The 27,645-nt window shown below is 45.0% G+C and overlaps 1 protein-coding gene and 1 pseudogene across 20 annotated transcripts in view, besides 2 other annotated features; one reads left to right on the plus strand and one right to left on the minus strand.

The window, feature by feature from the left end:
- Positions 1 to 27,645, minus strand: part of GON4L (gon-4 like) — a 114,320-nt gene that overhangs the window by 84,784 nt on the left and 1,891 nt on the right. For 9 of the 20 annotated variants that reach the window (XM_047423301.1, XM_047423282.1, XM_047423291.1 and 6 more), the window contains exons 1-2: positions 27,252 to 27,319; positions 23,381 to 23,911 (exon numbers count right to left, since the gene is read on the minus strand). In XM_047423301.1, the coding sequence (XP_047279257.1) occupies positions 23,381 to 23,885 (505 nt within the window). In that variant the 5' untranslated portion in view covers positions 23,886 to 23,911; positions 27,252 to 27,319. Of the gene's footprint in view, positions 1 to 1,639; positions 1,726 to 2,936; positions 3,056 to 4,386; positions 4,577 to 23,380; positions 23,912 to 26,928; positions 27,320 to 27,645 lie in introns of those variants that run through there. The other 11 variants (XM_047423284.1, XM_047423298.1, XM_006711393.4 and 8 more) reach the window with 5 other exon arrangements.
- Positions 4,443 to 4,737: a silencer, noted in NCBI's record as "tiled region #7686; HepG2 Repressive non-DNase unmatched - State 6:EnhF". NCBI's record gives its function as "represses a minimal TATA promoter and a strong SV40 promoter by Sharpr-MPRA in HepG2 cells {active_cell/tissue: HepG2}" and the evidence as "EXISTENCE:reporter gene assay evidence [ECO:0000049][PMID:27701403]".
- PSMD7P3 (PSMD7 pseudogene 3) lies at positions 15,437 to 17,378 on the plus strand (annotated as a pseudogene).
- Positions 27,199 to 27,398: an enhancer, noted in NCBI's record as "active region_1820". NCBI's record gives its function as "activates an Ori minimal core promoter by ATAC-STARR-seq in GM12878 lymphoblastoid cells {active_cell/tissue: GM12878}" and the evidence as "EXISTENCE:reporter gene assay evidence [ECO:0000049][PMID:35858748]".

The following is a 27,645-nucleotide window of genomic DNA, read 5'->3' on the forward strand; positions in this document are numbered from 1 at the left end:
GAGTATGAAAAATGATTTTGTGGTGCAGCTGATAATGTGCTTGCAGGGACAGTTTTTTTGTTTTTTTTTTTTCCAGACAGAGTCTCGCTCTGTGGGCCAGGCTGGAGTACGGTGGCATGATCTCAGCTCACTGCAACCTCCGTATCCTAGGCTCAAGCAATTCTCCTGCCTCAGCCTTCCGAGTAGCTGGGATTACAGGCGTGTGTCACCACGCCCAGCTAATTTTTTATTTTTAGTAGAGATGGGGTTTTACCATGTTGGCCAGGCTGGTCTCTAACTCCTGACCTCAGGTAATCTGTCCCTCTAGGCCTCCCAAAGTGCTGGAATTACAGGCATGAGCCACGCACCCAGCCCTGCAGGGACAGTTTTAAAAAGCAGTTCCAATTTTTTTTTTTTCTTGAGACGGAGTTCCATTCTTGTTGCCTAAGCTGGAGTGCAATGGCACGATCTCAGCTCACCGCAACCTCCGCCTCCCGGGTTCAAGAGATTCTCCTGGCTCAGCCTCCCGAGTGGCTGGGATTATAGGCATGCACCACCACGCCCAGCTAATTTTGTATTTTTAGTAGAGATGGGGTTTCTCCATGTTGGTCAGGCTGGTCTCGAACTCCTGACCTCAGGTGATCCGCCCACCTCTGCCTCCCAAAGTGCTGGGATTACAGGCACGAGCCACCGCACTTGGCCAAGTAGTTCCAATTTTTTTGTTGTTGCTGAGACAGGGTCTCGCTCTGTCCCCTAGGCTGAAGTGCAGTGGTACGATCTCAGCTCACTGCGGCCTCAACCTCCTGGGCTCAAGTGATCCTTCCACCTCAGCATCCCAAGTAGCTGAGACTACAGGTTCCTGCCACCATGCCCAGCTAATTTTATTTTATTTTTGTAGAGATGGGGTCTCACTATGTTGCCAAGTCTGGTCTTGAACTCCTGGCCTTAAGCAATCCTCTCACCTCAGCCTCCCAATGTACAGGGATAGGTGTGAACCACCATGCCTGACCCCAAATATTTTTTAAGTAGTAAAAATGTCAGTGGAAGAGGCTCTGCCTACCAAAGTGAATCTCTGTGTTTTGAAGGGCAATACTTGCTTAGATTTAAAAGTTCTGGTATGCTTGTTTAAAAAGTAATTTGTGGGCTGGGCATGGTGGCTCATGGCTGTAATCCCAGCACTTTGGGAGGCTGAGGTGGACAGGTCACTTGAGCTCAGGAGTTTGATACCAGCCTGGTTAATGTGGTGAAACGCTATCTCGACAAAAAATACAAAAATTAGCCAGGCATGGTGGTGCACACCTGTAGTCCCAGCTACTTGGGAGGCTAAGGTGGGAGAATCACTTGAGCCTAGGAGGTCAAGGCAGCAGTGAGCCGTAATTGCACTGCTGTACTCCAGCCTAGGTAACACGGTGGGACCCTGTCTAAAAAAAAGTTATGTGTGGCTTCATGCCTGTAATTCCAGCGTTTTGGGAGGCCAAGGCAGAAAGATTACTTGAAGCCAAGAGTTAGAGGTTGTAGTGAGCCATTATTGTGCTACTGCACTCTAGCGTGGGCTACAGAGTAAGACTCTGTCTCGTTAAAAATAAATAAATAAATAAATAAATAAATAAATAAATAAATAAATAAAAAGTTATTTCTAGTTGAGCCCAGTGGCTCATACCTGTAAGCCCAGCACTTTAGAAGGCTGAAGCAGCAGGATCATTTAAGGCCAGGAATTGTAGGTTGCAGTGAATTATGAGACCTCACCTGTTAAACAAACAAACAAACAAAAAACATTTCTATGCTGGGCAACTTATAGAGACCTTGTGTCTGCAAAAAGTCAAAAAAAAAAAAAGCTGGGTGTGGTGGTGCAGGTCTGTAGTCGCAGCTTTTTTTAGCTGGATGATGTGGCTCCTGCCTATAGTGCCAGTTACTTGGTAGGATCAGTTCAGCCCAGGAGTTAGAAGCTGCAGTGAGCTATGATCGTACCACTGGACTATAGCCTGGATGACAGGGTGAGACCTCATCTCTTTAAAAAAAATAAATAAAGAAAAGGTTTAAACACTAATACCTGCAGTCAAGAAACATGATTTAGGCTGGACAATGCAAACCCAGGAGGCGGAGCTTGCAGTGAGCCGAAATCACACCACTGCACTCCAGCCTGTAATCCCAACACTTTGGAAGGCCGAGGTGGGTGGATCACTTGAGATCAGGAGTTCAAGACCAGCCTGGCCAACATGGCGAAACCCTATCTCTACTAAAAATACAAAACTTAGCCAGGCGCAGTGGCACATGCCTGTAATCCCAGCTACTCGGGAGGCTGAGGCAAGAGAATCACCTGAGCCCGGGAGGTGGAGGTTGCAGTGAGCTAAGATCACGCCACTACACTCCACTCCAACCTGGGCAACAAAGCAAGACTCCGTCTCAAAAAAAAAAAAAAAAAAAAAAAGAAAGAAAAAAAAAGAAAAAAGAAACATGATTTAACAATGTATTGCCCGGCAAGGTGCGCCTAGCGCAGTGGCTCACACCGTAATCCCAGCACTTTGGGAGGCCGAGGCAGGTGGATCACAAGGTCAGGAGTTCAAGACCAGCCTGACCAACATGGGGAAACCCCACCTCTACTGAAAATACAAAAATTAGCCAGGTGTGGTGGCAGGCGCCTGTAATCCCAGCTACTCGGGAGGCTGAGGCAGGAGAATTGCTTGAACCTAGGAAGTGGAGGTTGTGGTGAGCCAAGATCATGCCACTGCACTCCAGCCTGGGTGACAGAGCGAGACTCTGTCTCAAAAACAAACAAACAAACAAACAATAACAACAACAAAAAGGTATCAATTGTAACAAAATGTCAATACTTGAAAATAATCCAACTATCTTTCTATGTATTTTCATTTTTTCTACAGTGTATATGATGCTGCTGCTTTCATAATCAGAAAACTAAAATGTTACTTAAAAGAAAGTAAAACAACAAAAACACATACTAAACAGCAGGGCTACGGGTGATTTTTATTTTCTCCTTTAAAGTTTTCAATATTTTCCAAAGTAGATATATGTGAATTGTCAATCTTTCTTTCTTCCTCTCTGTTTTGTGTTACATTATCTGATTGGCAAAAAAAAAAAAAAAAAAAGTTACTTGAAGAAAAATTCTGGAGAGACACTCATAGTGTACTTTTATTGCTATTACTTGTATATACAACTAATTAAAGTGCAAAGTAGTATAATCAATTTTCAGTTCTCCAGATTAATGAAGGGGAGTGATATCACAGATAATACTAAACAATAAATGTTTATTTAAATCCGGATATCTGTGAACTGATTTTTAAAATCTCTTAATTACACTTATCAATAACTGAGTGACTATGAACCCATAGTTATTTATCCATTCCTTCTCTAGCATTTTAATCTTATAATTTCCTCCAGTTCCTTCTGACAACTTATCTTGAAAAAATATGCAATAATCTCGCTGCCTTCTCTAGCTATTTCTCACCCATTCTCCCACTGCAAAAAAAGGAAGGAAGGCCAGGCATGGTGGCTCACACCTGTGATCCCAGCATTTTGGGAGGCCGAGGCGGGCAGATCACAAGGTCAGGAGATCAAGACCATCCTGGCTACGGGGAAACCCCATCTCTACTAAAAATACAAAAAATTAGCCAGGCATGATGGCAGGTGCCTGTAGTCCCAGCTACTCGGGAGGCTGAGGCAGAAGAATGGCGTGAACCCGGGAGGTGGAGCTTGCAGTGAGCCGAGATCACACCACTGCACTCCAGCCTGGTCAACAAAGCGAGACTCTGTCTCCAAAAAAAAAAAAAAAAAAAAAAAAAAAGGGAAGGAAGGGGAGGGGAGGTGAGGGAAGGGGATAAGAGGGAAGAGGAGAGTGGGGAGGAGAGGGGAGGAGAGGAGGAGGGGAGGAAGGGAGGAGGGGAGGAGGGGGATGGGGGAGAGGAAAGAAAGAAAAATCTCTGGGGTTTCATTCCTCCTCCTTTTTCTTTTTTTTACAGACAAGGTCTTGCTCTGTCACCCAGGTTGCAATGCAGTGGTGCGATCAGAGCTCACTGCAACCTTGAACTCCTGGGCTCAAGCTATCCCCCTAGCTACTCCTGAGTAGCTAGGACTACAGGGATGCACTACCACACTTGGCTAATTTTTAAAATTTTCTGTAGAGATGGAACCTAGCTATCTTGCCCAGGCTGTTCTTGAACTCCTGGCCACAAGATCCTCACACCTTGGCCTTCCAAAGTGTTGGGATTACAGGTGTGAGCCACTGTTCCCAGCCCCATTCCTTCCTCTTTAACTGCTTCATATAATGTCCTTTCCCCAACAAACTCCTGAATCTACTCTCCAAGATCATCAATCTTCAAATGTAACCTTTTTCTCAGGTATTATCCTTATCCCTCCTTTGCTACTAAATTTTAAATTTACATTTTAAAGTACCTTGTTCTTAAAGCTCTCCTTCCTCTTTTCACTTTTACTATTACTTCTCCAGTTGTTCCTTCTCTGTTATCTTCTTCCTCAAGGCAAGGTTGTCTTCAATCCACTGCTCTTCCCCCTCCATGTCTGTTTCCATGGAGAAGAACCATGACTAACACTGAACATTTCTAGTCCTTGCCTCTTACTAAACTTCAATCTCAGATTTCTATTTTTGCTTGCTGGCCCTATTGTCACCTCACATTCCATTTGAGGTAGGAGATCAGCAGGACTTGTTTTCCAAGCACTGTTCGAAAGACCCCGCTGAACAAAACAGGAGCTGATCAAAGAAACTGGCCAAAACCAGCTAAAAGCAAGATGGTGATGAAAGCCACCTCCTGTTGCCCTCCTTTTATCTGCATGCTAAAAGAACCTCCTACCAGCACCATGACAGTTTACAAATGCCATGGCAACCCCCAGATGTTACCTTATATGGTTTAAAAGGGGAGGGACTCTCAGTTCCGGGAAGTCCTCGCCCCTTTTCCAGAAAATCCATTAAAAATCCGCCCCTTCGCCTCTGCCCAGCTGCCCCTACTGGGAAGTGAGGAGCCCCTCTGCCCAGCCAGCCGCCCCGTCCGGGAGGTGAGGGGCGCCTCTGCCCAGCCGCCCCTACTGGGAAGTGAGGAGCCCCTCTGCCCGGCCACCACCCCGTCTGGGAGGTGTACCCAACAGCTCATTGAGAACGGGCCATGATGACAATGGCGGTTTTGTGTAATACAAAGGGGGGAAAGGTGGGGAAAAGATTGAGAAATTGGATGGTTGCCGTGTCTGTGTAGAAATAGGTAGACATGGGAGACTTTTCATTTTGTTCTGTACTAAGAAAAATTCTTATCCTGTTGATCTGTGACCTTACCCCCAACCCTGTGCTCTCTGAAACATGTGCTGTGTCCACTCAGGGTTAAATGGATTAAGGGCGGTGCAAGATGTGCTTTGTTAAACAGATGCTTGAAGGCAGCATGCTCGTTAAGTCATCACCACTCCCTAATCTCAAGGACCCAGGGACACAAACACTGCGGAAGGCCGCAGGGTCCTCTGCCTAGGAAAACCAGAGACCTTTGTTCACTTGTTTATCTGCTGACCTTCCCTCCACTATTGTCCTATGACCCTGCCAAATCCCCCTCTGCGAGAAACACCCAAGAATGATCAATTAAAAAAAAAAAAAAATCTGCCCCTTATTTTAGCATATAATCAAAGTATACCCATATATATATGGCTATACAGGTCTCATGCTTTTGAGGGTCACTGTTGGCCACCCCCTAGGTGCTCTGGGATTTTCGTCATTTGGTATGGGGACCCTCATGGGCTGATGCCTGGATACTCTGGGTATTTTGGCATTTGGCACCGTTTCATTTTTTTTCCATGTTGTCTTTGTATACATACAGCTAGCCAGCAATCCGCAGGTCTGCTGCTGCGGCTGCTTCTCTTACAGAGCAGCCATTTCCCTTCCTCTGTTGCTCTAATAAACTTACTTTCAATTCACTGTTGGCCCATTCATGATTCCTTCCAGTGCGAAGCCAAGAATGCTCCTGGGCTGAGCCCCAATTTGGGGTTCACCTGCGTCATTCCTTGGTGACCATGAAGAGACCAATAATAAGCCAAAAGGAACTGAGGGAGACCTTTAGCCAGACCCTAAATTAAGACTGATTGGGTTGAGCACCGTGGCTCACGCCTGTAATCCTAGCACTTTGGGAGGCCAAGGCAGGTGGATTGCCTGAGCTCAGGAGTTCGATACTAGCCTGGGCAACAGAGCAAAACCCCGGCTCTACTAAAAATACAAAAAATTAGCCAGCCATGGTGGTGCACGCCTGTAGTCCCAGGTACTTGGGAGGCTGAGGCATGAGAATTGCTTGAACCCAAAGACTGACTGGCACCATTTGGCCTCCACGAAAAGATGAGTGTCCCCTTTGTTCCCCCTCAATGTGTGTTTTGTTTTCGTTTTTTTTTTTTTTTTTTGAGACGACATCTTGCTCTGTCACCCAGGGTGGAGTGCAGTGGCACAATCTCGGCTCACTGCAACCTCGCCTCCCGGGTTCAAGCGATTCTCCTGCTTTCAGCCTCCCGAGTAGCTGGGATGACAGGTGCCTGCCACCACACCCAGCTAATTTTTGTATTTTTAGTAGAGACAGGGTTTCACCACATTGGCCAGGTTGGTCTTGAACTCCTGACCTCGTGATCCCCCCGCCTCGGCCTCCCAGACTGCTGGGATTATAGGCGTGAGCCACCACGCCTGGCCGATGTGGTGTTCTTTAACTGATTTACTTTCTCTTTCACTCTCCTCTCCCTTTACCTTTTCAAATCAATCAGGAAATGGGGAATAGTGTCTCTGGGTTGTTAGTCAGTTCGTTGTCCCCCATCATCTGGGTGCCCCAGACAGAAGCACACCTGGACATCCACGTCCTTTGTAATTTACTTTGTCACCTTCTCTCTCAGACCTTTTCTCTTTAGCTTCTAATGACCAGTCATTTTACTTTTCTGCTCTTAGTGCCTAAATGCACACTTATGTTTATCCAGTTGTCATGTTTGTAGTCCCTGTTTTGGCAATTTGGGCAGTTGTTTCTATTCCATGTAAGGCAGGCTTTTGTTATTTTGAGAGGTATTCCTTTGTGCTGACTCTGGGATGTCAGAGTCACATTATTCTATGGCCCCAACTGTGTTAGGTCTCATGCCTTTGGGCCTCACTGTTGGCCACCCCCAGGTTTTCAGCATTTGGTATGGGGACCCTCACTGGCCAATGTCTAGATACTCCAGGTTTTTCAGCATTTGGTGCCGTTTCATTTTTTTCCTTACTCTGTCATTCCATCCACTTCAGCAACTTCTTCTAGTCCCTCCTAAAATCATAAATTTTCTTTTCTGCAACAGGTCTCTTCCTGTCTTTCTTTCTGCTCAAAATGAGGGTCCCAAATGAGCTGCCTTGTTCAAGCCCATTTTTCTGGAGGCCCTGAACCCCTGACCTAATGACGACTCCCTGCAATGGCAGAAAAGCAGCCGCCTGAACACTTTTTTTGGTGTCTCCACTGATGGGTGAGTTCTCCACTGTCTCAGGGACTCCAAGGACACGCCCTGAACAACAACCCCTCTCTTCCCCAATTCACATTTGCTGCTACGGGAGCCTGTTTTTCCTAGCTTCCTTTCCCTTTCTGCCTTTTCAGTCTTCTTTTATTATACTTCTACTGGTTCATGTCTCTCTAGGATTGTGGGTCCCTGGGACAGTCCCAAGGTCTTGGGTCCAAGATATCTGATATTGAAGTTGTCATGGTAAGGTGACCCTTCATCCATCAATGAGTGTTCTGGCTTGCTGTATCTCTCTCTCTCTCTCTCCCCCACCAGAGAAACAAAGGGAAAGGTACCCCTCATCCCCCTACTCTCCCTCCTTTCCCTCTTTTTCTTTCCTGCCCTTTTAAATCATCTCCTCCTCCTCTGAAGCTGAAGGGGGAAAAAAGGATAAAAGAGGGTTTTAAAATTAAAACTGTTATGAAAACTACCTTACCCAAATTCTAGTCTACAGTTTCCTTGGATTACCTATTAGAAAAAAAAAGTTTAGCCATGTGAACAGGTTTCAAAATTGTCAGAAATATTTAAATCCAGCTATCTTTAATAAAGTCCAAAGGCTTTTCAAGTTCACATGAATCCTTTGGTAAATAAAACTTGTTTTCAAATTATTAATAAAGACTGGGTGCTGTCGCTCACACCTCCCAACCTTTTGGGAGGCTAAGGTGGGAGGACTGCTTGAGCCCAGGAGTTCAGGACCAGCCTGGGCAACATAGTGAGACTCCATCTCTAAAACAAAACAAAAAAAATTAGCCAGGTGTGACAGCACACACTTATAGTCCCAGCTACTCAGGAGGCTGAGGTGGAAGATCACTTGACCCCAAGAGGCGGAAGCTGCAGTGAGCTGTGATCATGCCACTGCACTCCAGCCTGGGCAACAGAAACCTTGTCTCAAAAAATTAATTAATTAAATTAAATAATTGATGGAAATAGAAATGTCTTCAGAATTGTATAAATAAGACGAATTTAAGATTGTTGGCTCAATGAAAATAGCTGAATCTTCTCAGTTACTGGCAAAATGCCCATGTGTTTAAGATTCTTACTTAGGGGTTCACCTAATGTTCAGAGTTTAAAAATGGTTAACCAGGAAATAACTTTGAATAATGACCAATTTTGTCTAATATAGTTCCAGCTAGGCACAGGGGCTCTCACCTGTAATCCCAGCACTTTGGGTGGCCAAGGCAGGTGGATCACTTGAGGTCAGGAGTTTGAGACCAGCCTGGCCAACATGGCAAAACCCCATGGCTACTAAAAATACAAAAATTAGCCAGGCGTGGTGGTGCATGCATCCCAGCTACTTGGGAGGCTGAGGCCCAAGAAGCTCTTGAATCCGGGAGGCAGAGGTTACAGTAAGCTAAGATTATGCCATTGCACTCCAACCTGGGTGACAGAGTGAGACTCTGTCTCAAAAAAAAAAAAAGAAAAAAAATTATAAATAATAATAATAAATTAGGTAAATATAATGAGATAAATGCTTATAAGTGAACTTTTTGTATAATTTAAAATCTTAAAATCGTTTTGGATGCTTATTGGATGCCTGGGTCATTTCCAATTAAGAAAGGAATATTATATAGGGAAACATTTTACAATAAAATAAAAAATTTTAAAAACTGTGGAATGGTTCTCATCTATAAAATGCTAATATCTGATAGTTCAGGATTTCTTCCTTCTTAGGTTTATATAAAACTTACCAAAGAAGATGTGTTTTTATTGAGAAAAAGAATAATTGTGTCTAATTCAAAAGTTATCTAAAGGTTGATTCAAATTATGGACTTGAAAAGGTTATTTATATAACCAGGTAGAAAGGAACCAGTAAGTAGGGGAGAGATAGGTAAAGAAAGTTATGGATGTTCAGAGGTATTTTTGGTAAGAAAGGTTATAAATAAAAGAGAATAATTCTACATAAGAAAGAATCCTGCAGATCTCAGTGGGAAAAAAAAAAGGATCTTATATGGTATTGTTCTAGAGTAGTAGAATGACTAGTTATTTAGGAAAAGTAGTATAGGCCAGGCACAGTGGCTTATGCCTGTAATCCCAGCACTTTGGGAGGCCAAGGTGGGTGGATCACTTGAGGTTAGGAGTTTGAGACCAGCCTGGCCAAGATGGTGAAACCTTGTCTCTACTAAAAAATACAAAAATTAGCTGGGTGTGGTGGCACACGCCTGTTAATTCCAGCTACTTTTGAGGCTGAGGCAGGAGAATTGCTTGAACCCGGGAGGCGGAGGTTGCAGTGAGCCAAGATTACACCACTGCACACCAGTCTGGGCAACAGAATGAGACTCTGTCTCAAAAAAAAAAAAAAAAAGGTAGTATTGGACAAGTCAGAAAGTTCATTCAACCATATCATACATGGTCTGTGCAGGTCATAAGATTTATAAAGGAGAATTTATAAAAAGAATTGTTTATGTGATTAAGTTAGCTATAATTAAAAGTGGAATCTTTCTAAAGAATGGTCTCCTATGTTAAAGTAAGGGTTTCAAGGTATTGATTTGCTCTTAATGAAATTACAAGAAAATTTGCTTTTCAATTCTATAACTTGTTTCTTTTGAAAATTTCTCAGATTCATATCTCATAAGTTCAATTGTTCTATCTCACTGCTTTCAGCTTTTTCTCCCCTTGAGAAAGCCTGAGACATTAGTCTCTCCTTCAACCTTTTCATCAGTTGCTGTAACTTTTTCTCTTCCAGTTCTGTTTTTACAGTCAGATGCTGAAATATTTTAGCTTAGAGGTCTATAAAAGCAATGTTTTCCTCCAGTATAACTTGATTCTATACTCTTGGTTTTTCTTGACATGTCTAAATTTTCAGAGTAACCAGAAAACTTTTCATGTTCACCTGCTATATTCAAAACCTTGAACATACTTTGTCCGATTAAATTCAAGTATTATTTTTCTCTTCATCAAATTTAACTTCAAGATTAGTTAAGTGGGCTTCCCATAAGGAGAGACAATTACACTGCAGAGAGATTACCACTTTGGGTAAATAAGTAACTATTACTTACAGTAACCTGTGGTTCTGTGTCAATACAGTATTTTGGGCTTTTTAACATCTTTTACAAATGCCCCCAGAATCGAATCCTAGCTTGATTGTCTGGCTTGTTGCTGGGCTTTATCAAAGCTATAAAAACTAATCACTGCAAGGTTGTGATATATTTTTACAGCCTCCTGACAGGTTGTGGACTCCAGCATTACCACTGCCAGCCCTTTAAAAAGTTCCTTATCGGGTGCTATTAACTAATCAATGTGCTTTTGAGTTACAGGGCTTTGACTCCTGGGTACAGACAGCTCATCTAGAGAAGGCACCAACTCTTGCCAGGATCTAACACCAAACTCAAGTTAACCAAAGCCTTGTCTTTAGACCTGGGCAAAAGGGGCAAAGTAAACTGCTTTAGGACGGGCGCAGTTGATCACGCCTGTAATCCCAGCACTCTGGGAGGCTGAGGTGGGTGGATCACCTGAGGTCGGGAGTTCAAGATCAGCCTGACCAACATGGAGAAACCCCGTCCCTATCAAAAATACACAAAAATTAGCTGGGCGTGGTAGTACATGCCTGTAATCCCAGCTACTCGGGAGGCTGAGGCAGGGGAATCGCTTGAACCCGGGAGGCGGAGGTTGCGGTGAGCCAAGATCATGCCATGGCACTCCGGCCTGGGCAACAAGAGTGAAACTCAGTCTCAAAAAAAAAGTAAACTGCTTTAATGAGACACAGGGACAAGCTTGTATTCATTTAATAATTTTGCCTCTATATGAATTAATATAACTTATTCTATGCCTTGATACTAAATAATTTAAATGTTTAGGTACCTGTAAGATTCCTTTCCTGTCATTCTCAAAACTAGGGCAGGGCTTATGACTTTTTTGTTTGAAACATTGCTAATTCTTTATGTGTTGTTTTATCTACAGAATTTAAAACTATTCAATTCCTCCAGGCCCAAGGACTACTGAAGAGGTGGGCATGAGAGATTATAGGGGCTGGGTTTTGAGGGATATAATTAATTCAGACCTTCCAAATCAAGGACAGGCACACAGATACCTAAATAGCTGAACAAAATGTTTGTGTTTTGTAAACCTAATTGCTGCAAGCCAAGATTACAATAGCTCAATGCACAGAATTTATAGATAAGTCAGTTTTATAACCTTATTTTTTGGCTTCTGGTTTTGGCTCTTATATTGCTTAAAAGGGGTTTTAAGAGATAATAATGAGTGCCTGCCTACCTCCACTTCCATCTGGCCTACAATGTTTAATTGGCTATAAGTCACTTGAATCTAAGTCCCTTGGCCATCAGCGTCCCACCAAGGGACATGAGGGACCTGGGGCAGGTAGCACACCACCTCAGCATTGGTATGGAACAAAATAAAAGCTTGGCCAGCAATATTGCCTCTGGCAGCTGGATGCAGTGGCTCACACCTGTAATCCCAGCACTTTGGGAAGCCAAGGCAGACAGATCACCTGAGGTTAGGAGTTGGAGACTAACCTGTCCAACATGGTGAAACCCCATCTCTACTAAAAATACAAAAAGTAGCTGGGCGTGGTGGCGAACGCCTGTAATCTCAACTACCTGGGAGCCTGAGGCAGGAGAATCACTTGAACCTGGAAGGCGGCTGTTGCAGTGAGCTGAGATCGTGCCACTGCACTACAGCCTGAGTGACAGAGCAAGACTCCGTCTCAAAAAAAAAAAGAAACTTGAAAAACTAATTCAGGCCATGACAAGAAACAAGGGGTTGGACAAGCCTCACTATACCTTCCCCCCGCTCCCCTTTGGAACTTAAGAGACCAGGTTCAAAAGGCACTCTAAGAATATGAAAATAAAGTATTGCCCTTTCCCACAAAGGAAAAGATTGTTCCCTGTTTAACCAGGACACCTAGTCCTATTAAAAACTTGGGGCAGGGGTGGTGGCTCACGCCTGTAATCCCAGCACTTTGGGAGGCCAAGGCGAGTGGATTACGAGATCAGGAGATGGAGACCTTACTGGCTAACATGGTGAAACCTCGTCTCTACTAAAAATACAAAAAATTAGCCGGGCATGGTGGCAGGCACCTGTAGTCCCAGCTACTCAGGAGGCTGAGGCAGGAGAATGGTGTGAACCCGGGAGGTGGAGGTTGCAGTGAGCCGAGATCGTGCCACTGCACTCCAGCCTGGGCGACAGAGCGAGACTCCATCTCAAAAAAAAAAAAAAAAAAAAAAAACTTGGAAAGGGCCGGGCCAGTGGCTCATACCCATAATCCCAGCACTTTGGGAGGCCGAGGTGGGTGGATCACGAGGTCAGGGAATCAAGACCATCCTGGCCAACATGGTGAAACCCTGTGTCTAGTAAAATACAAAAAATTTAGCTGGGCATAGTGGCACATGCCTGTAGTCCCAGCTACTCAGAAGGCTGAGGCAGGGGAATCACTTGAACCCGGGAGGCGGAGGTTGCAGTGAGCCAAGATAGCACCACTGCACTCCAGCCTAGGCAACAGAGCAAGACTTCATCTCAAAAAAAAAAAACTTGGAAAGAAGGATTCCTTGAAGATCAATTATAATATAACCAATATGGAAGGGCACCCACTCCCCATTAGGTATTGTTAAGCACTCCCACTGCTGTTAAACTTCGGGGAATCACTAGCTAGGTACACCTGTCCCGGATTAAACAAACCTGTTTTTGGTGAATCCCTACAGGCACAAGAGGAGGACACCATGACCTACACCTGCAAACCTCTGGAAGACTTAAAGTTGCTATTTCACAAGACAGATAAGTAGCAACCACCTCCTCCTGAGAAACACCTTACTTGTCCTTATTGAGTATAGGGACCACCCTAAAGCCCAGTGTGATACTCAGTTGTCCCTGTTCTTCTTGCTCCCTGCTCCTAATCAATCTAACTCGCTGTGGAATGGGAACAAAACTCCATAGTAAACATTTCTAGAATTATAGCATCAGGAAATAGCCTGCATGATTGCAGAATCTGTCATCAGCACCCTCAGGATAGAGAGCATCACCTTCTGGTGCACCCTGCAAACCTCACAGCCATCTCCCCAAACCTCCTAATTGGCCATAGTGTTCCTTTGGTACCTAGGCCCCTACTTATAAAACAGCTCTCTCCCACACTTAACAGATTGACCTGACTCCTCTCCAACCACCCTCCTACCCCCTACTATTACCTGGACCTAGGATGTTGGGTATCTACAGCTCCAGTGTACTAATGATACTATCTTTTGCACAAATTGTTGTGACAATGACACAGAGACAGAAATTCCCCACGATGCTCTGACCCAACCCTAGTAGCCAAATTCCCAAGGCCATGGGAGGGCAAACGGGATCCCACTGGTAAACAAGGAGACTATACATGGTGCCTCCTCCAGGACCAATACATGCAAGGGAGAAACGACTGCTTAATTTGGGAAGATGGAGGTACCACCCTCTGGTGGAAAACGAGGGCTACTCAATCACCCCCATTGGAACCTGGAAAAGGTATCTCTATAGACCCAGTTTGGCAATAAAAAATGGACGGCATAACTTGCAAGGATTCAATTTGTGACCCATCTGGGCTCACCTTTAGGGGAAGAAATCCTACCCCATACCCACTCCCAACCCTGTAGGGAACCATTTATTCTTCTAGGAATAGCTTTCCATTTTGCTTATCAAAAACTTGAAACACCAGTGAATGTATTTTGGCCACCATTATCCCTTCAGGGGGTATCCATTCATAACCCCATAAAATCTAGAAAAACAAGAAGTAAAAGAGCAATAGGATTAATTTTTACAGGAATTGGGGCAGCAATAGGGGTGGTGGCCCCTTGGCAGGGGCTTTGCATACCACAAGTCAATGCTAAGAAACATAACTCAGGCCCTAGAATCTCTGGCCACCAACACTAGTCAGACATTAAGAAAAATTCAGGAATCTCTGGACTCTTTGGCAATTGTAGCCCTGACAACAGACTAGTCTTGGATTGTTTACTGACTGAAAAAGGTAGAGTCTGCACTGTTATCAATAAGACCGACTGCACATATATTAACAACTCTGGACAGGCTGAGGTTAACATTCAAAAGTTCTAAGAGCAAGCCACCTGGTTACATATATATAACCAGGGAACTGACCCCAACTATATCTGGTTGACCATAAAAAACACCCTCCTGGCCAGGCAGAGTGGCTCACGCCTGTAATACCAGTACTTTGGGAGGCTAAAGTGGGAGGATCACTTGAGCTCAGGAGTCAAGACCAGCCCGGGCAACATAGTGAGACTGTGTCTCTATAAAAACATTTAAAAATCAGCTGGGTGTTGCTGGCAAACACATGTGGTCCCAGCTACTCAGGAGGCTAAGGCAGGAGGATCACTTGAGCCTGGGAGGTTAAAGCTGCAGTGGGCCATGATCACACCACTGCACTCCAGCCTGGGTGACAGAGCGAGATCCTGTCTCAAAAAACCCAAAAAATAACAACAACAAAAAAAACCCTCCCAAGTCTCACCTGGTTTCTACTCTTTTTAGGACCTCTAGCAGCTATCTTGTAACTATGAATCTTTGGCCCTGCCTCTTTTAGCCTCCTTGTAGTGTGTGTCTTCTAGATTGCAACAATTTCCATGTGAAGATAATGCTAGCAAGTGGCTTCCAACACATCCTTGTTCTGACCCCTTAGATGAGGCATCAAGAGATTTTTACTCCTCCAGTGCTAGGCAGGGCCAATGCCCATAAAATCAACAGGAAGCAGTCACAGAAGATGGACTTCCACCCTTCTAAAACCCTGTAAGATTGAAGGGGAGTATATAATCTCTGTGGGGGGAGTGAGGTAGGAGAGAAGCAGGATTTGTTTTCCAAGCACTGGCCAGAGAGCCTGCTGAACAAAACAAGAACAAAACCCTGATCAAAACAGGATGCAGCAAAGAAAGCAGCCAAAACCAGTTACAACCAAGATGGCAACAAAAGTGACATTCGGTTGCTCTCACTGCTTATTATACACTAATTATAATGAATTTGCATGCTAAAAGAAACTCCAGTGGGTCACAGGGAGCCAGGCCTGGTGGCCAGAGTGTATCATGAGGCTGGACCTGGTGGTGCAGAAGGTGGTAGTCCACCCCCAGGTACTGCTCAATGTGGTGGATCATTTCAACAGAATCAGCAAGGTTGGAAACCAGAAATGCATTCTTCATGTGCTTTTGCGGTCATGGCAAATGAAAGTACTTGATGTATCCAGCAGTTTTACAGTCCCTTTTAATGAAGATGACAAAGATAATTGTTTTTTAGCCCACGATTATTTGAAAAACACATACAGAATGTTTAAGAGGGTGAATGCCAGGGAAAGAATAGTTGAGTGGTACCACATAGGCCCTAAACTACACAAGAATGACACTGCCTTCAATGAAATCATGAAAAGATACTGCCGTAACTCAGTATTGGTCACTAGTGACATGAAGCCAAAGGACTTAGGGCTGCCTACAGAAGCATATATTTCAGTAGAAGTCTATGAAGATGGAACTTCAGCCTTGAAAACATTTGAGCATGTGACCAGTGAAACTGCAGCAGAGGAAGCTAAGGAAATTGGAGTTAAACACTTGTTACAAGACATCAAAGACACTACAGTGGGCACTCTTTCCCAGTGTATCACAAACCAGGTCCTGGATTTGAAGGGACTGAACTCCAAGCTTCTGGGTACCAGAAGCTACCTGGAAAAAGTTGCCACAGGCAAACTGTCCACCAACCACCAATTCATCTATCAGCTGCAGGTCTTCAAGCTGCTGCCAGTCATTAGCCTATAGGAGTTTGTCAAGGCCTTTTACCTGAAGACCAATAACCAAATGGTAGCAGTGTACTTGGCCTCGCTGATCCATTCTGTGATCACCCTACACAACCTCATCAACAAGATTGCCAACTGGGATGCAGAGAAGAAAGACAGGAAAAAGAAACCGGCCAGGCGCGGTGGCTCACGCCTGTAATCTCAGCACTTTGGGAGGCCGAGGCGGGCGGATCACAAGGTCAGGAGATCGAGACCAGCCTGTCTAACACAGTGAAACCCCGTCTCTACTAAAAATACAAAAAAATTAGCCGGGTGTGGTGGCGGGCACCTGTATTCCTAGCTACTCGGGAGGCTGAGGCAGGAGAATGGCGTGAACCCGGGAGGCGGAGCTTGCAGGGAGCCGAGATCGCGCCACTGCACTCCAGCCTGGGTGACAGAGCAAGACTCTGTCACCAAAAAAAAAAAAAAAGATAGGAAAAAGAAGAGAGCAAAAAAGGATACAAAAGACGACAAAGAGAAAGATAAAGGAAAAAAGTGATATAAAGAGAAAATGTAAAACATATAGATTTTTTAATTTGTAAACTAAAATCTTATAAACTAAACCAGCGTGCTACTGGGGGGTTCTTTTCCACTTTAACTGCTTGTTAAAAAGCTGTCCTGGGCCAGGCACGGTAGCTCACGCCTGTAATCCCAGTACTTTGGGAGGCCGAGGTGGGTGGATGACTTGAGGTCAGGAGTTCGAGACAGCCTGGCCAACATGGTGAAACCCCATCTCTACTAAAAATACAAAAATTAGCTTGGCATGGTGGCACACGGCTGTAGTCCCAGCTACTCAGGAGGCTGAGGCAGAAGAATCGCTTCAACCGAGCAGGGGCCATTGAGGTTGTGCCATTGCACTACGGCCTGGGAAACAAGAGTGAAACTCTGTCTCAAAAACAAAAAAACAAAAAAAACACAGGAGTTGAATTTTCCCCATCTTGAAAGACTCTTTCAGTCTGTTTCTGGTAATTTACAAAATTGCTAAATGGAATACACAAATTCCGCATGTTCTCTGACTCCGTGAGTTGAACACCGTGAGTTCGAACCCTTCTGAACTCAGAATACCACAAGTTTTGGACCCATAGCTCTAGCACTCTCAGGCTTGGGATCCAGGCTCCATAAATTGTTTACCTTGAAAGACACAATTAAATGGATTGGTTTTAAAAAATAAAAACAGGCTGGGCATGGTGGCTCATGCCTGTAATCCCAGCACTTTGGGAGGCTGAGGCGGGCAGATGATCACCTGAGGTCAGGAGTTCAAGACCAGCCTGGCCAACATGGCAAAAACGCATCTCAATTAAAAATACAAAAAAAGCCAGGTGCAGTGACTCAAGCCTGTAATTCCAGCACTTTAAGAGGCTGAGGAGGGCAGATCATGAGGTCAGGAGTTTGAGACCAGCCTGACCAACATGGTGAAACCCCGTCTCTACTAAAAATACAAAAATTAGCCAGGCATGGTAGCGGGTACCTATAACCCCAGCTACTCAGGAAGCTGGGGCAGGAGAATCGCTTGAACCCAGGAGGTGGTGGTTGCAGTGAACTGAGATGGCGCCACTGCACTCCAGCCTGGGCAACAGAGCGAGACTCCATCTCAAAACAACAAAAAACAAAAAAAATTAGCTGAGTGTGGTGGTGCATGCCTGTAGTCCCAGGTACTCGAAAGGCTGGGGTAGGAGAATCCCTTGAACCCAGGAGGCGGGGGTTGCGGTGAGCCAAGATCGTGCCACTACACTCCAGCCTGGGGAACAGAGTGAGACTCTGTCTCAAAATAAATAAACAATAAATAAATATATACATACATACATACAAAGAAGAAAAGTCCCACCACTGCCATGACAGTTTACAAATGCCATGGCAACCCCTAGAAGTTACCTTATATGGTTTAAAATGGGAGGATCTCTTGGTTCTGGGAACTCCCTGCCCCTTTTCTAGAAAATTGATGAATAACCTGCCCTTATTTAGTATATAATCAAGGAATAGCTATCTATTCACAAGGGCTGCTGCTATTGCTGTGTCTATGGGGCAGCCATTTCCTGTACTCTGCTGCTCTAATAAACTTGCTTTCCTTTTTCTCTATTGGCTTGCAAATGAATCTTGCACAAAGCCAAGAACCCCCCTGGGCTGAGCCCCAATTTTGGGGTTCACCTGCATAACTCATACCCAAATCTGAACTCATATTCAAACTCTCAAATACCTTCCCTATGAAGGCATGCATCACCATCCCCTACCCCAGATATCTTACATGTCAGTCTCTGAGCAGTGTTAATCATTTCTTTGTAATGTGTCTATGGTGTACCCATTCTTCTCTACCCTTACTGCCAGCATCCTATTCTAAATCTTAAGGTCTTAAGGGGAAAGCTTCAAGGCTCTCCATAATCTGGATCTACTCTTTCTACCTGAAGCCTTAGTACTTTCCCACACAAACACAGCATTTCTACATGTTTGCAGAATATGTTATTCTACTTCCACTTCTTCCCTCACAATCTATCAAATCCTGTGAATCCTTCAAGCTCCAATTCCAAAAAGTATATATTTATGGTTGTTTTCCCAATTAAGATTCTAAACTTCCTGAGGTTAGAACTATGTCTTCTGCTTCTTTTAAATGTCACACAGATAGAGATTATGTTTTAAACCAAAACTCAGAACAAAGGATTTCTTTGTCATTTTCAGACAAAAAAAAATCTGAGAGATAAAAGTTAAACATCAAAATGTGTTTTGTAGGTTACTGCAATGGTTTACTAAAACTACGGAATTGTAGGTCGGGCGCGGTGGCTCACGCCTGTAATCCCAGCACTTTGGGAGGCCGAGGCAGGCGGATCACCTGAAGTCAGGAGTTCGAGACCAGGCTGGCCAACCTGATGAGATCCCATCTCTACTAAGATACAAAAAATTAGCTAGGCCTGGTGATGCACACCTGTAATCCCAGCTACTTGGGAGGCTGAGGCAGGAGAATCGCTTGAACCCGGGAAGCAGAGGTTGCAGTGAGCCAAAATCATGCCACTGCCCTCCAGCCTAAACAACAGAGACTCCATCTCAAAAAAAAAAAAAAAAAAAAAAAAAAAAGGGGCTGGGCACTGTGGCTCACGCCTGTAATCCCAGCACTTTGGGAGGCTGAGGCGGGTGGTCATTTGAGGTCAGAAATTCAAAACCAGCAGGGCTGGGCACGGTGGCTCACACCTGTAATCCCAGCACTTGGGAGGCCGAGGCAGGCAGATCACGACGTTAGGAGATCGAGACCATCCTGACTAACATGGTGAAACCCTGCCTCTACTAAAAATACAAAAAATTAGCCAAGCGTGGTGGCGGGCGCCTGTAGTCCCAGCTACTCGGGAGGCTGAGGCAGGAGAATGGCGTGAACCCAGGAGGTGAAGCTTGCAATGAGCCGAGATTGTGCCACTGCACTCCAACCTGGCTGACAGAGAAAGACTCTGTCTCAAAAAAAAAAAAAAAAAAAAGGTAGTTCAAAACCAGCCTGACCAACATGGTGAAACCCCGTCTCTACTAAAAATACAAAAATTAGCCGGGTGTGGTGGTGGGTGCCTGTAATCCCAGCTACTCGGGAGGCTACGGCAGGAGAATTGCTTGAACCCATGAGGCGGAGGTTGCAGTGAGTCAAGATCGCACCACTGCCCTCCAGCCTGGGCAACAGAACGAGACTCCGTCTCAAAAAAAAAAAAAAAAAAAAAAGAAAGAAAACTTGATTCTGTCCTATGCTTTGAATGTACATCTCTCCCGGCTTCCTGAATTAGTAGTTGAACTGATTCTTATCTCCTTACTATTTTCTTTAAACTATCTCAAAGGAAATGCCTTTTTTCCAGTAAAAACACCTAAATTCCAGTATCACCTTAATTTGTCCTGATCTAGTATATTCTGCTCTTAAAAAAAAAAAAAAAGAATAAAAGAGAAAAAAAGGAAAGGCATGGGGAGAATAAAGAAAAACCTTCATTTCTCCTTTCCTTATGTCTAAATAATGAGAACTCAAAAAGACTGAGGCTTAAGCACTTGCCTCATTAAGTGGAAAACTATCAAAATAAGAATTTCAAAGTAATAAAAAGTATTTGTCCACATCAACTATGTGCAGGACAATGTCCTGCCTTGTTTTATTTTTTATTTATGTGATCAAAAGTCAAATCTATGTAATTAGCAAAATGGCACAAGCTATTTACCCTTTTTTATTCTAAAAAATTGTGTAGAAGATTAGCAGTGAAACAATATATAATACACATACAAAAAAAACCGCTATTCCTGTCTACATTTCCAGATAAAACACAGGTGTCCCAAAAGCAATACAACAATGCAAGCTACTGTGAATGAGGCTGAAAATTTAGAGCCACATGCTATGACAAGGGATGATTCCACAGGAGAGCACTTTTCCCCAAAAGAGCTTTCATCTTTGACAATGTGCTTCAGGCAGCTCATGCCAGAGAGGGCGTGACCAACACAGTATACCATCAAGATTATTGCTAAACTCCCTCATCTTGGGCACTCCATCAGTTTTCAAATACAGCAGAGTCAGAAACATGAAATTCTTCAATATAAACACACACAAGACACAATAAAAAACCACATACTGAGAATGTACCAGTAGGACAAAATAAGAACAAGTGGACTTAAAATGCGGCAAAAAAGAAAACATCTTAACAGTCAAAATGAATGAATAGGCCGGGTGCAGTGGTTCACGCCTGTAATCCTAGCACTTTGGGAGGCCGAGGTCGGTGGATCACGAGGTCAGGAGTTCGAGACCAGCGTGGCCAGCATGGTGAAACCCTGTCTCAACTAAAATACAAAAAAAAAAAAAATTAGCTGAGCGTGGCAGCGTGTGCCTGTAGTCCTAGCTACTTGGGAGGCTGAGGCAGAATTGCTTGAACCTGGGAGGCGGAGGTTGCAGTGAGATGAGATCGTGCCACTGCACTCCAGCCTGGCAACAGAGCGAGACTCCACCTCAAAAAAAAAAAAAAAAAAAGGGCCGGGCGCGGTGGCACACGCCTGTAATCCCAGCACTTTGGGAGGACGAGGCAGGTGGATCACGAGGTCATGAAATTGACACTATCCTGGCTAACACGGTAAAACCCCGTCTCTACTAAAAATACAAAAAATTAGCTGGGCATGGTGGCAGACACCTGTAGTCCCAGCTACTCGGGAGGCTGAGGCAGGAGAATGGCATGAACCCAGGAGGCAGAGCTTGCAGTGAGCCAAGACTGCGCCACTGCACTCCAGCCTGGGCGACAGAGCCAGACTACGTCTCAAAAAAAAAAAATGACTATCACCTACCTACAGGAAAAGCTCAAATGCCTTAGTATGAAAAACAAAAACCTTCACAATCTAGGCCGGGCGCAGTGGCTCACGCCTGTAATCCCAGCACTTTGGGAGGCTGAGGCAGGTGGGTTACCTGAGGTCAGGAGTTCAGGACCAAGCTGGCTAACCTGGTGAAACCCCATCTCCACTAAAAATACAAAAATTAGCTGAGCACGGTGGCGGGCGCCTGTAATACCAGCTACTCAGGAGGCTGAGGCAGGAGAATCACTTGAACAGGGGAGGTGGAGGTTGCAGTGAGCTGAGATCACGCCACTGTACTCCAGCCTGGGCGACAAAGCGAGACTCCGTATCAAAAAAAAAATGAATAAGAGAAGTTGGTATCTTTTCTAAAGCATAAATGTGTTCTACTTAGACGTTTAAATGACTATCACCTACCTACAGGAAAAGCTCAAATGCCTTGGTATGAAAAACAAAACCTTTCACAACCTTAGTACAATCTACTACTCTAAAGTCATCTTGGCAGGGCGTGGTGGCTCACGCCTGTAATCCCAGCACTTTGGGAGGCCAAGGTACGTGGATCACCTGAGGTCAGGAGTTTGAGACCAGCCTGGCCAACATGGGGAAACCTCCTCTCTAATAAAAATAAAAAAATTAGCTGGACGTGGTGGCAGGCACCTGTAATCCCAGCTACTCGCGAGGCTGAAGCAGGGGAATCACTTGAACATGGGAGGTGGAGGTTGCAGTGAGCCAAGATCACACCACTGCACTCCAGCCTGGGCAACAGAGCGAGACTGTCACAAAAAAAAAAAAAAAAAAAAAAGAAGTCATCTCCCACCACCTGTTCCAAGCAACCATGTCACCATCCTTTTCTGCCAGTCTATCTCTGTGCACTGTTCTTGGCCTATGTGCCCATACCACTTTCTGTTAAACCGCAATTCATCTTTCAAATTGGAAGGGTCATTCATCTCAGTAGAGCCTTTCCCAGTGTCCCAGGCAGTAGTCTCCCCCTTTAAGCTGCTGCCCAATCACAAAAGACCATACACATCTCCAGACACACCAAATAAAGGATGAGAGAATGGAATGAAAGGGATACAATGGCTGGGTGCAGTGGCTCACGCTTGTAATCCAGCACTTTGGGAGGCCAAGGCGGGCGGATCACGAGGTCAGGAGACTGAGACCATCCTGGCTAACACAGTGAAACCCCGCCTCTACTAAAAATACAAAAAAAATTGGCCGGGCATGGTGGTGGGTGCCTGTAGTCCCAGCTACTCGGGAGGCTGAGGCAGGAGAATGGCGTGAACCTGGGAGGCGGAGCTTGCAGTGAGCCGAGACCACGCCACTGCACCCTGGCCTGGGTGACAGAGCGAGACTCCGTCTCAAAAAAGAAAGAAGAAAGGGGTACAGAAGTGGATATAGCGAATGGGAGGGGAAAAGAAAGTCTATATCCATTCATAAAGTTCACTGCTGGCCAGGCACGGTGGCTCACACCTGTAATCCCAGCACTTTGGGAGGCCAAGGCAAACGTATCACCTGAGGTCAGGAGTTCGAGACCAGCTTGACCAACATGGTGAAACCCCGTCTCTGGTAAAAATACAAAATTAGCCTGGCGTGGTGGCGCATGCCTGTAATCCTAGATACTTGAGAGACTGAGGCAGGAGAATCGCTTGAACCCAGGAGGTGGAGGCTGCAGTGAGTCAAGATCCCACCATTGCACTCTAGTCTGGTGACATGGCAAGACTCCGTCTCAAGAAAAAAAAAAAGTTCACTGTTGACCCTTAGCAACACAGCAGTTCCAATTCCGTACCAAATCAATATCCCCTTTCAGAAATACTACTCTGTAAAGGTATCCAGAAATAGCAATGGCAAAGTGGTATTGACAAGAATGTAACCTAGAGACCTTGTATACCTTACCTCCTTCTTCCTTGACTTCTTCACTAGGCTCTCCTGAAAAAGGCTCCTTTAGGGTAAGATGATCACATCTGTCTTCTTGGGTAACTGGCCCAGGCCTGAGTGTCATTTTTTTCCCTCTCTTTGAGCCAGTAGCGTGGAGTTTTCCTTTACCAATGTGTATATTAAGGGGGTGAAAAGACTCCAAGGAAGGTAGGGTGATTCCCTGAGAGATGGCCACATCAACACCTTCTAGAATTGGTACATTTGTGTTCTGGGTGAGCATTCCAGAGCTCAGAGATGTATCCTCCATACCAAGCTGATTTCCTGCATCCTGCAAAGACTGTACTTCGAAGCCAGCTACTCTGCCATGACTTGGATCCCAGGATAGTGACACCGAACTCAAGTCCTTAACCTGGTCAGATTCTGGTTTAACGGCTGATTCTAGGTCTACGTTGTTTTCCTCTTGATTGCCTTTATGCTGTAGGGACTCTGTCACTGTAGTTCTTCTCTTCTTACAGGGCAACATTTTAAAAGTCCCACTTTTGTTCCATTCTGAAAGAATAAAAAGTTCTTACTGCCTTCATATTAATTAAAAGTAATAACATTTACTCAATTATCTTTTCATTTATTCATGTTCGATCATGAACACAATACTTCACACCAAATGCACAATTTCCCTTTAGGTGGAAGTTGAGAGACAGTGGTTAAGTGACTGAGTTCAAATCTCAACTCTACTGATTACTACTGATGGACTACTGTTACCTAGGCCAAGTGATTTAACCTCGCAAGTCTTCAGTACCCTCAACAGTAAAAAATAATTGCTCTTACTTCATAGAATTGTTACAATTAAAGAGTAAGTGATTAATAAACACTGTGGGTTTATTTTTGTGTTTTTTTGTTTTTGTTTTTGTTTTTGAGACAGAGTCTCACTCTGTCTCCCAGGCTGGAGTACAGTGGCGCAATCTCGGTTCACTGCAACCTCCGCCTCTCGCGTTTTACGCCATTCTCCTGCCTCAGCCTCCTGAATAGCTGGGACTACAGGCGTGCACCACCTACGCCTGGCTAATTTTTTTTGTATTTTTAGTAGAGATGGGGTTTCACCGTGTTAGCCAGGATGGTCTCGAACTCCTGACCTTGAGATCCACCCGCCTCGGCCTCCCAAAGTGCTGGGATTACAGGCGTGAGCCACCGCGTCCAGCAAACATTGTTATTATTACCATCAGGGTGGTAGACTAGCATGATGCTGAGAGTAAACTGTGGAATCAGACTGTCTGGATGTTTCCCAAGTCACCTTCTCTCCAGCTTTATGACCTTGTGGAAGTTACTCAACCTGAATCTCAGTGTCTTCAGCTATAAAATGGAATATAATAGCATCTACTTCATTAGATGGTAAATGATCAATACATGTTTGCTATTGCTGTTTTCATAAACAGGTATTTCCATTAATAGAAACAAATCAAAAGCAAAGTGTGATTGTTTAAAAGGTTAGGCTATGTTGGCTGGGCACGAGATGGCTCACGTCCGTAATCCCAACACTTTGGGAGGCCAAGGTGGGCAGATTACCTGAGGTCAGGAGTTCGAGACCAGCCTGATCAACATGGAGAAACCCTGTCTCTACTAAAAATACAAAATTAGCCGGGCGTGGTGGCACACGCCTGTGATCCCAGCTACTCCAGAGGCTGAGGCAGGACAATCACTTGAACCCGGAGACAGAGGTTGCAGTGAGCCGAGATCACTCCCCATTGCACTCCAGCCTGGGCAACAAGAGCGAAACTCCATCTCAAAAAAAAAAAAAAAGGTTAGGCTACATTAACAACAAACTTTGTGTCGAAACAAGGAAGATAAGAGTCCTACTATCCTCTGCGCTATGTTACTTCTTGGCTTTTTGCTTCAATTCTAGTTATCACATTTTAAGGGCATTACTGACCTAAACCAGAGGGTATCCTCTATGTTCTTTTAGTATCTGTTTGTAAACCTCTTTTACGGTACTTATCAGTTTTGTAATGGTCTCTCATCTTTCTCTTTCTCATCTCCTTCCTCCAAAACTATCAGCTTTTCGAGAAATGGGATTATTTCAACTCATATCCCTAATATCCAGCAGTATCTGGGTTTTTTTTTTTGAAACAAGGTCTTGCTCTGTCACCCAGGCTGCACTGCAGTGGCACGAACATAGTTCGCTGCAGCCTCGACCTCCTGGGCTCAAGCAATGCTCCCACCTCAGCCTCCCAAGTCATTGGGATTACGGTCCCATCCAAGCCACTGCACCAGTTCAGTATTTGGGTATTGTAGATACTCAATGTATCACTGAGTATTGATACTCAATGTGTCACTGAATATTGTAGATACTCAATGAATGCTCCCTGAATAATAAATGAAACAGAGGTTAAACAACTTATTCTGTGCAGCATTTGGGCCAAATGTTAAGCATTATATAAAAACTGATAGTGGCTTGGTGCAGTGGCTCACGCCTGTAATCCCAACACTCTGGGAGGCCAAGGCGGGCGGATAACAAGGTCAGGAGTTCGAGACCAGCCTGGTCAATATGGTGAAACGCTGTCTCTACTAAAAAATACAAAAATTAGCCGGGCATGGTGGTGGGCACCTGTAGTCCCAGCTTCTTGGGAGGCTGAGGCAGGAGAATCGCTTGAACCCGGGAGGTGGAGGTTGCAGTGGGCCAAGATCATGCCACTGCACTCCACCCTGGGCAACAGAGGGAGACTCTGTCAAAAAAAAAAAAAAAAAAAAAAAAAAAAGGCATCTTATTACCCAGGAAAACTTTACTGTCATAAATAGATCCAATAATAGAATAAGCCGCCTTGTGTTAGATCACTGGCAATGTTCAAGCGAAGCCTGAATGTCCACTTATCAGAGTACTAGATGAAAGCCTGAACTAGAGAACTGAAAAATAAAAGTTATTTGTAACTCTAAGCGTCTAAGGTTAGATTTCTCTTTCTTCTTTTCTTTCTTTCTCTCTCTCTCTCTTTCTTTCCAGAGACAAGGTCTCGCTCTGTTGCCCAGACCGGAGTGCAGTGGCAAGATCCTAGTTCACTGCAGCCTCAGACTCCTGGGCTCCAGTGACCCTCTGGCCTCGGCCTCCCGAGTAGCTAGGACTACAAGGCACTTGCCACCACCCTCAACGACTTTTTTTCTTTTTTTTTTTTTGTAGAGACGGGGTCTCGATTTGTTACCCAGGCTGGTCTCAAACTCCTGGCCTCAAGCGATCCTCCCGCCCCAGCCTCCCAAAGTGCTAGGATTAGAGGCGTGAGCCACCGCGCCCGACCTACAGTTAGTTTTAAACCTCCCTTCTGTTTCTCCAAGACATTAGGGGAGATTCTCCATCCCCTCAATCAACTGATGTAATTAAAACTCAGTAACTAAAGCTCAATAAAACATGAAGATTTCGTTGATTCCTGTGAGAGATGGTGGTGACCTTATAAGAAATAGAATGGGAGTAGCCAGGGCAGCTCTTTTATTTCACAGATAATTACTGAGATCAAAAAAAGGGGAAAAAAAGAAAAAGAAAGAAAGAAAAAGAAGGAAAGAAAGACAGCTACTTCAGCTCCAGGCACCTCAAACACAGCAGTAGCTCGACAGAATCCACTTTTTTGGGAACCCAAGTCGGACCAGCAGGGTGAATGAATGCCAATGTGGAGGCAGCCCCGGCACGGCCCTCTCCTAGGAAAACATTTTCAAAAGGGGTCCTAACCGCGCTTCCACCTCGGTGCCCAGGGCTGGCTCCAGTCCCCATTCCCAACTAGACACTGGACTTCACGCCCTTAACTTCCGCCACGCACCCAGCGCCCACCCTCAGACCCGACCTTCTCAACCTGGACATCGTTCGTCCAGGTGTCCCAGCTCCCACCTGCCTCTTCCCACCCCACCACACACAAACCTGTACCCTCACCAGCCGGCCTGATTCCACGGAAACGGCTTTGGCACCACCGGAAGTCAGCCAACAACAGCGAATTGCGTGCGCGTCCCCGAGCCTCGGAGCGCCGCGCCGCAGTGCATCAAGGAGCATGCGCCTAACACTATGCGCCATCCCATTTTAGGGCAGAGTGAAGCCACAACGTTAGTGCGTCAGTTATTGGCAAAAAAATTTAAAGGCACTACTTAGCTTTCTCTGCCCATGGAGTTATCCTACTCAAAACTGAGGTTAAGATTCAGTGGTTTAGATTAACAGCTAATTTGGGGGCCAGGCGCGGTGGCTCACGCCTGTAATCCCGGCACCTTGGGAGACGGAGGCGGGCGGATTACCTGAGGTCGGGAGTTCGAGATCACCCTGG

This window comes from Homo sapiens, chromosome 1 (genome assembly GCF_000001405.40).
Source record: "Homo sapiens chromosome 1, GRCh38.p14 Primary Assembly".
NCBI classification, from domain to species: domain Eukaryota; kingdom Metazoa; phylum Chordata; class Mammalia; order Primates; family Hominidae; genus Homo; species Homo sapiens.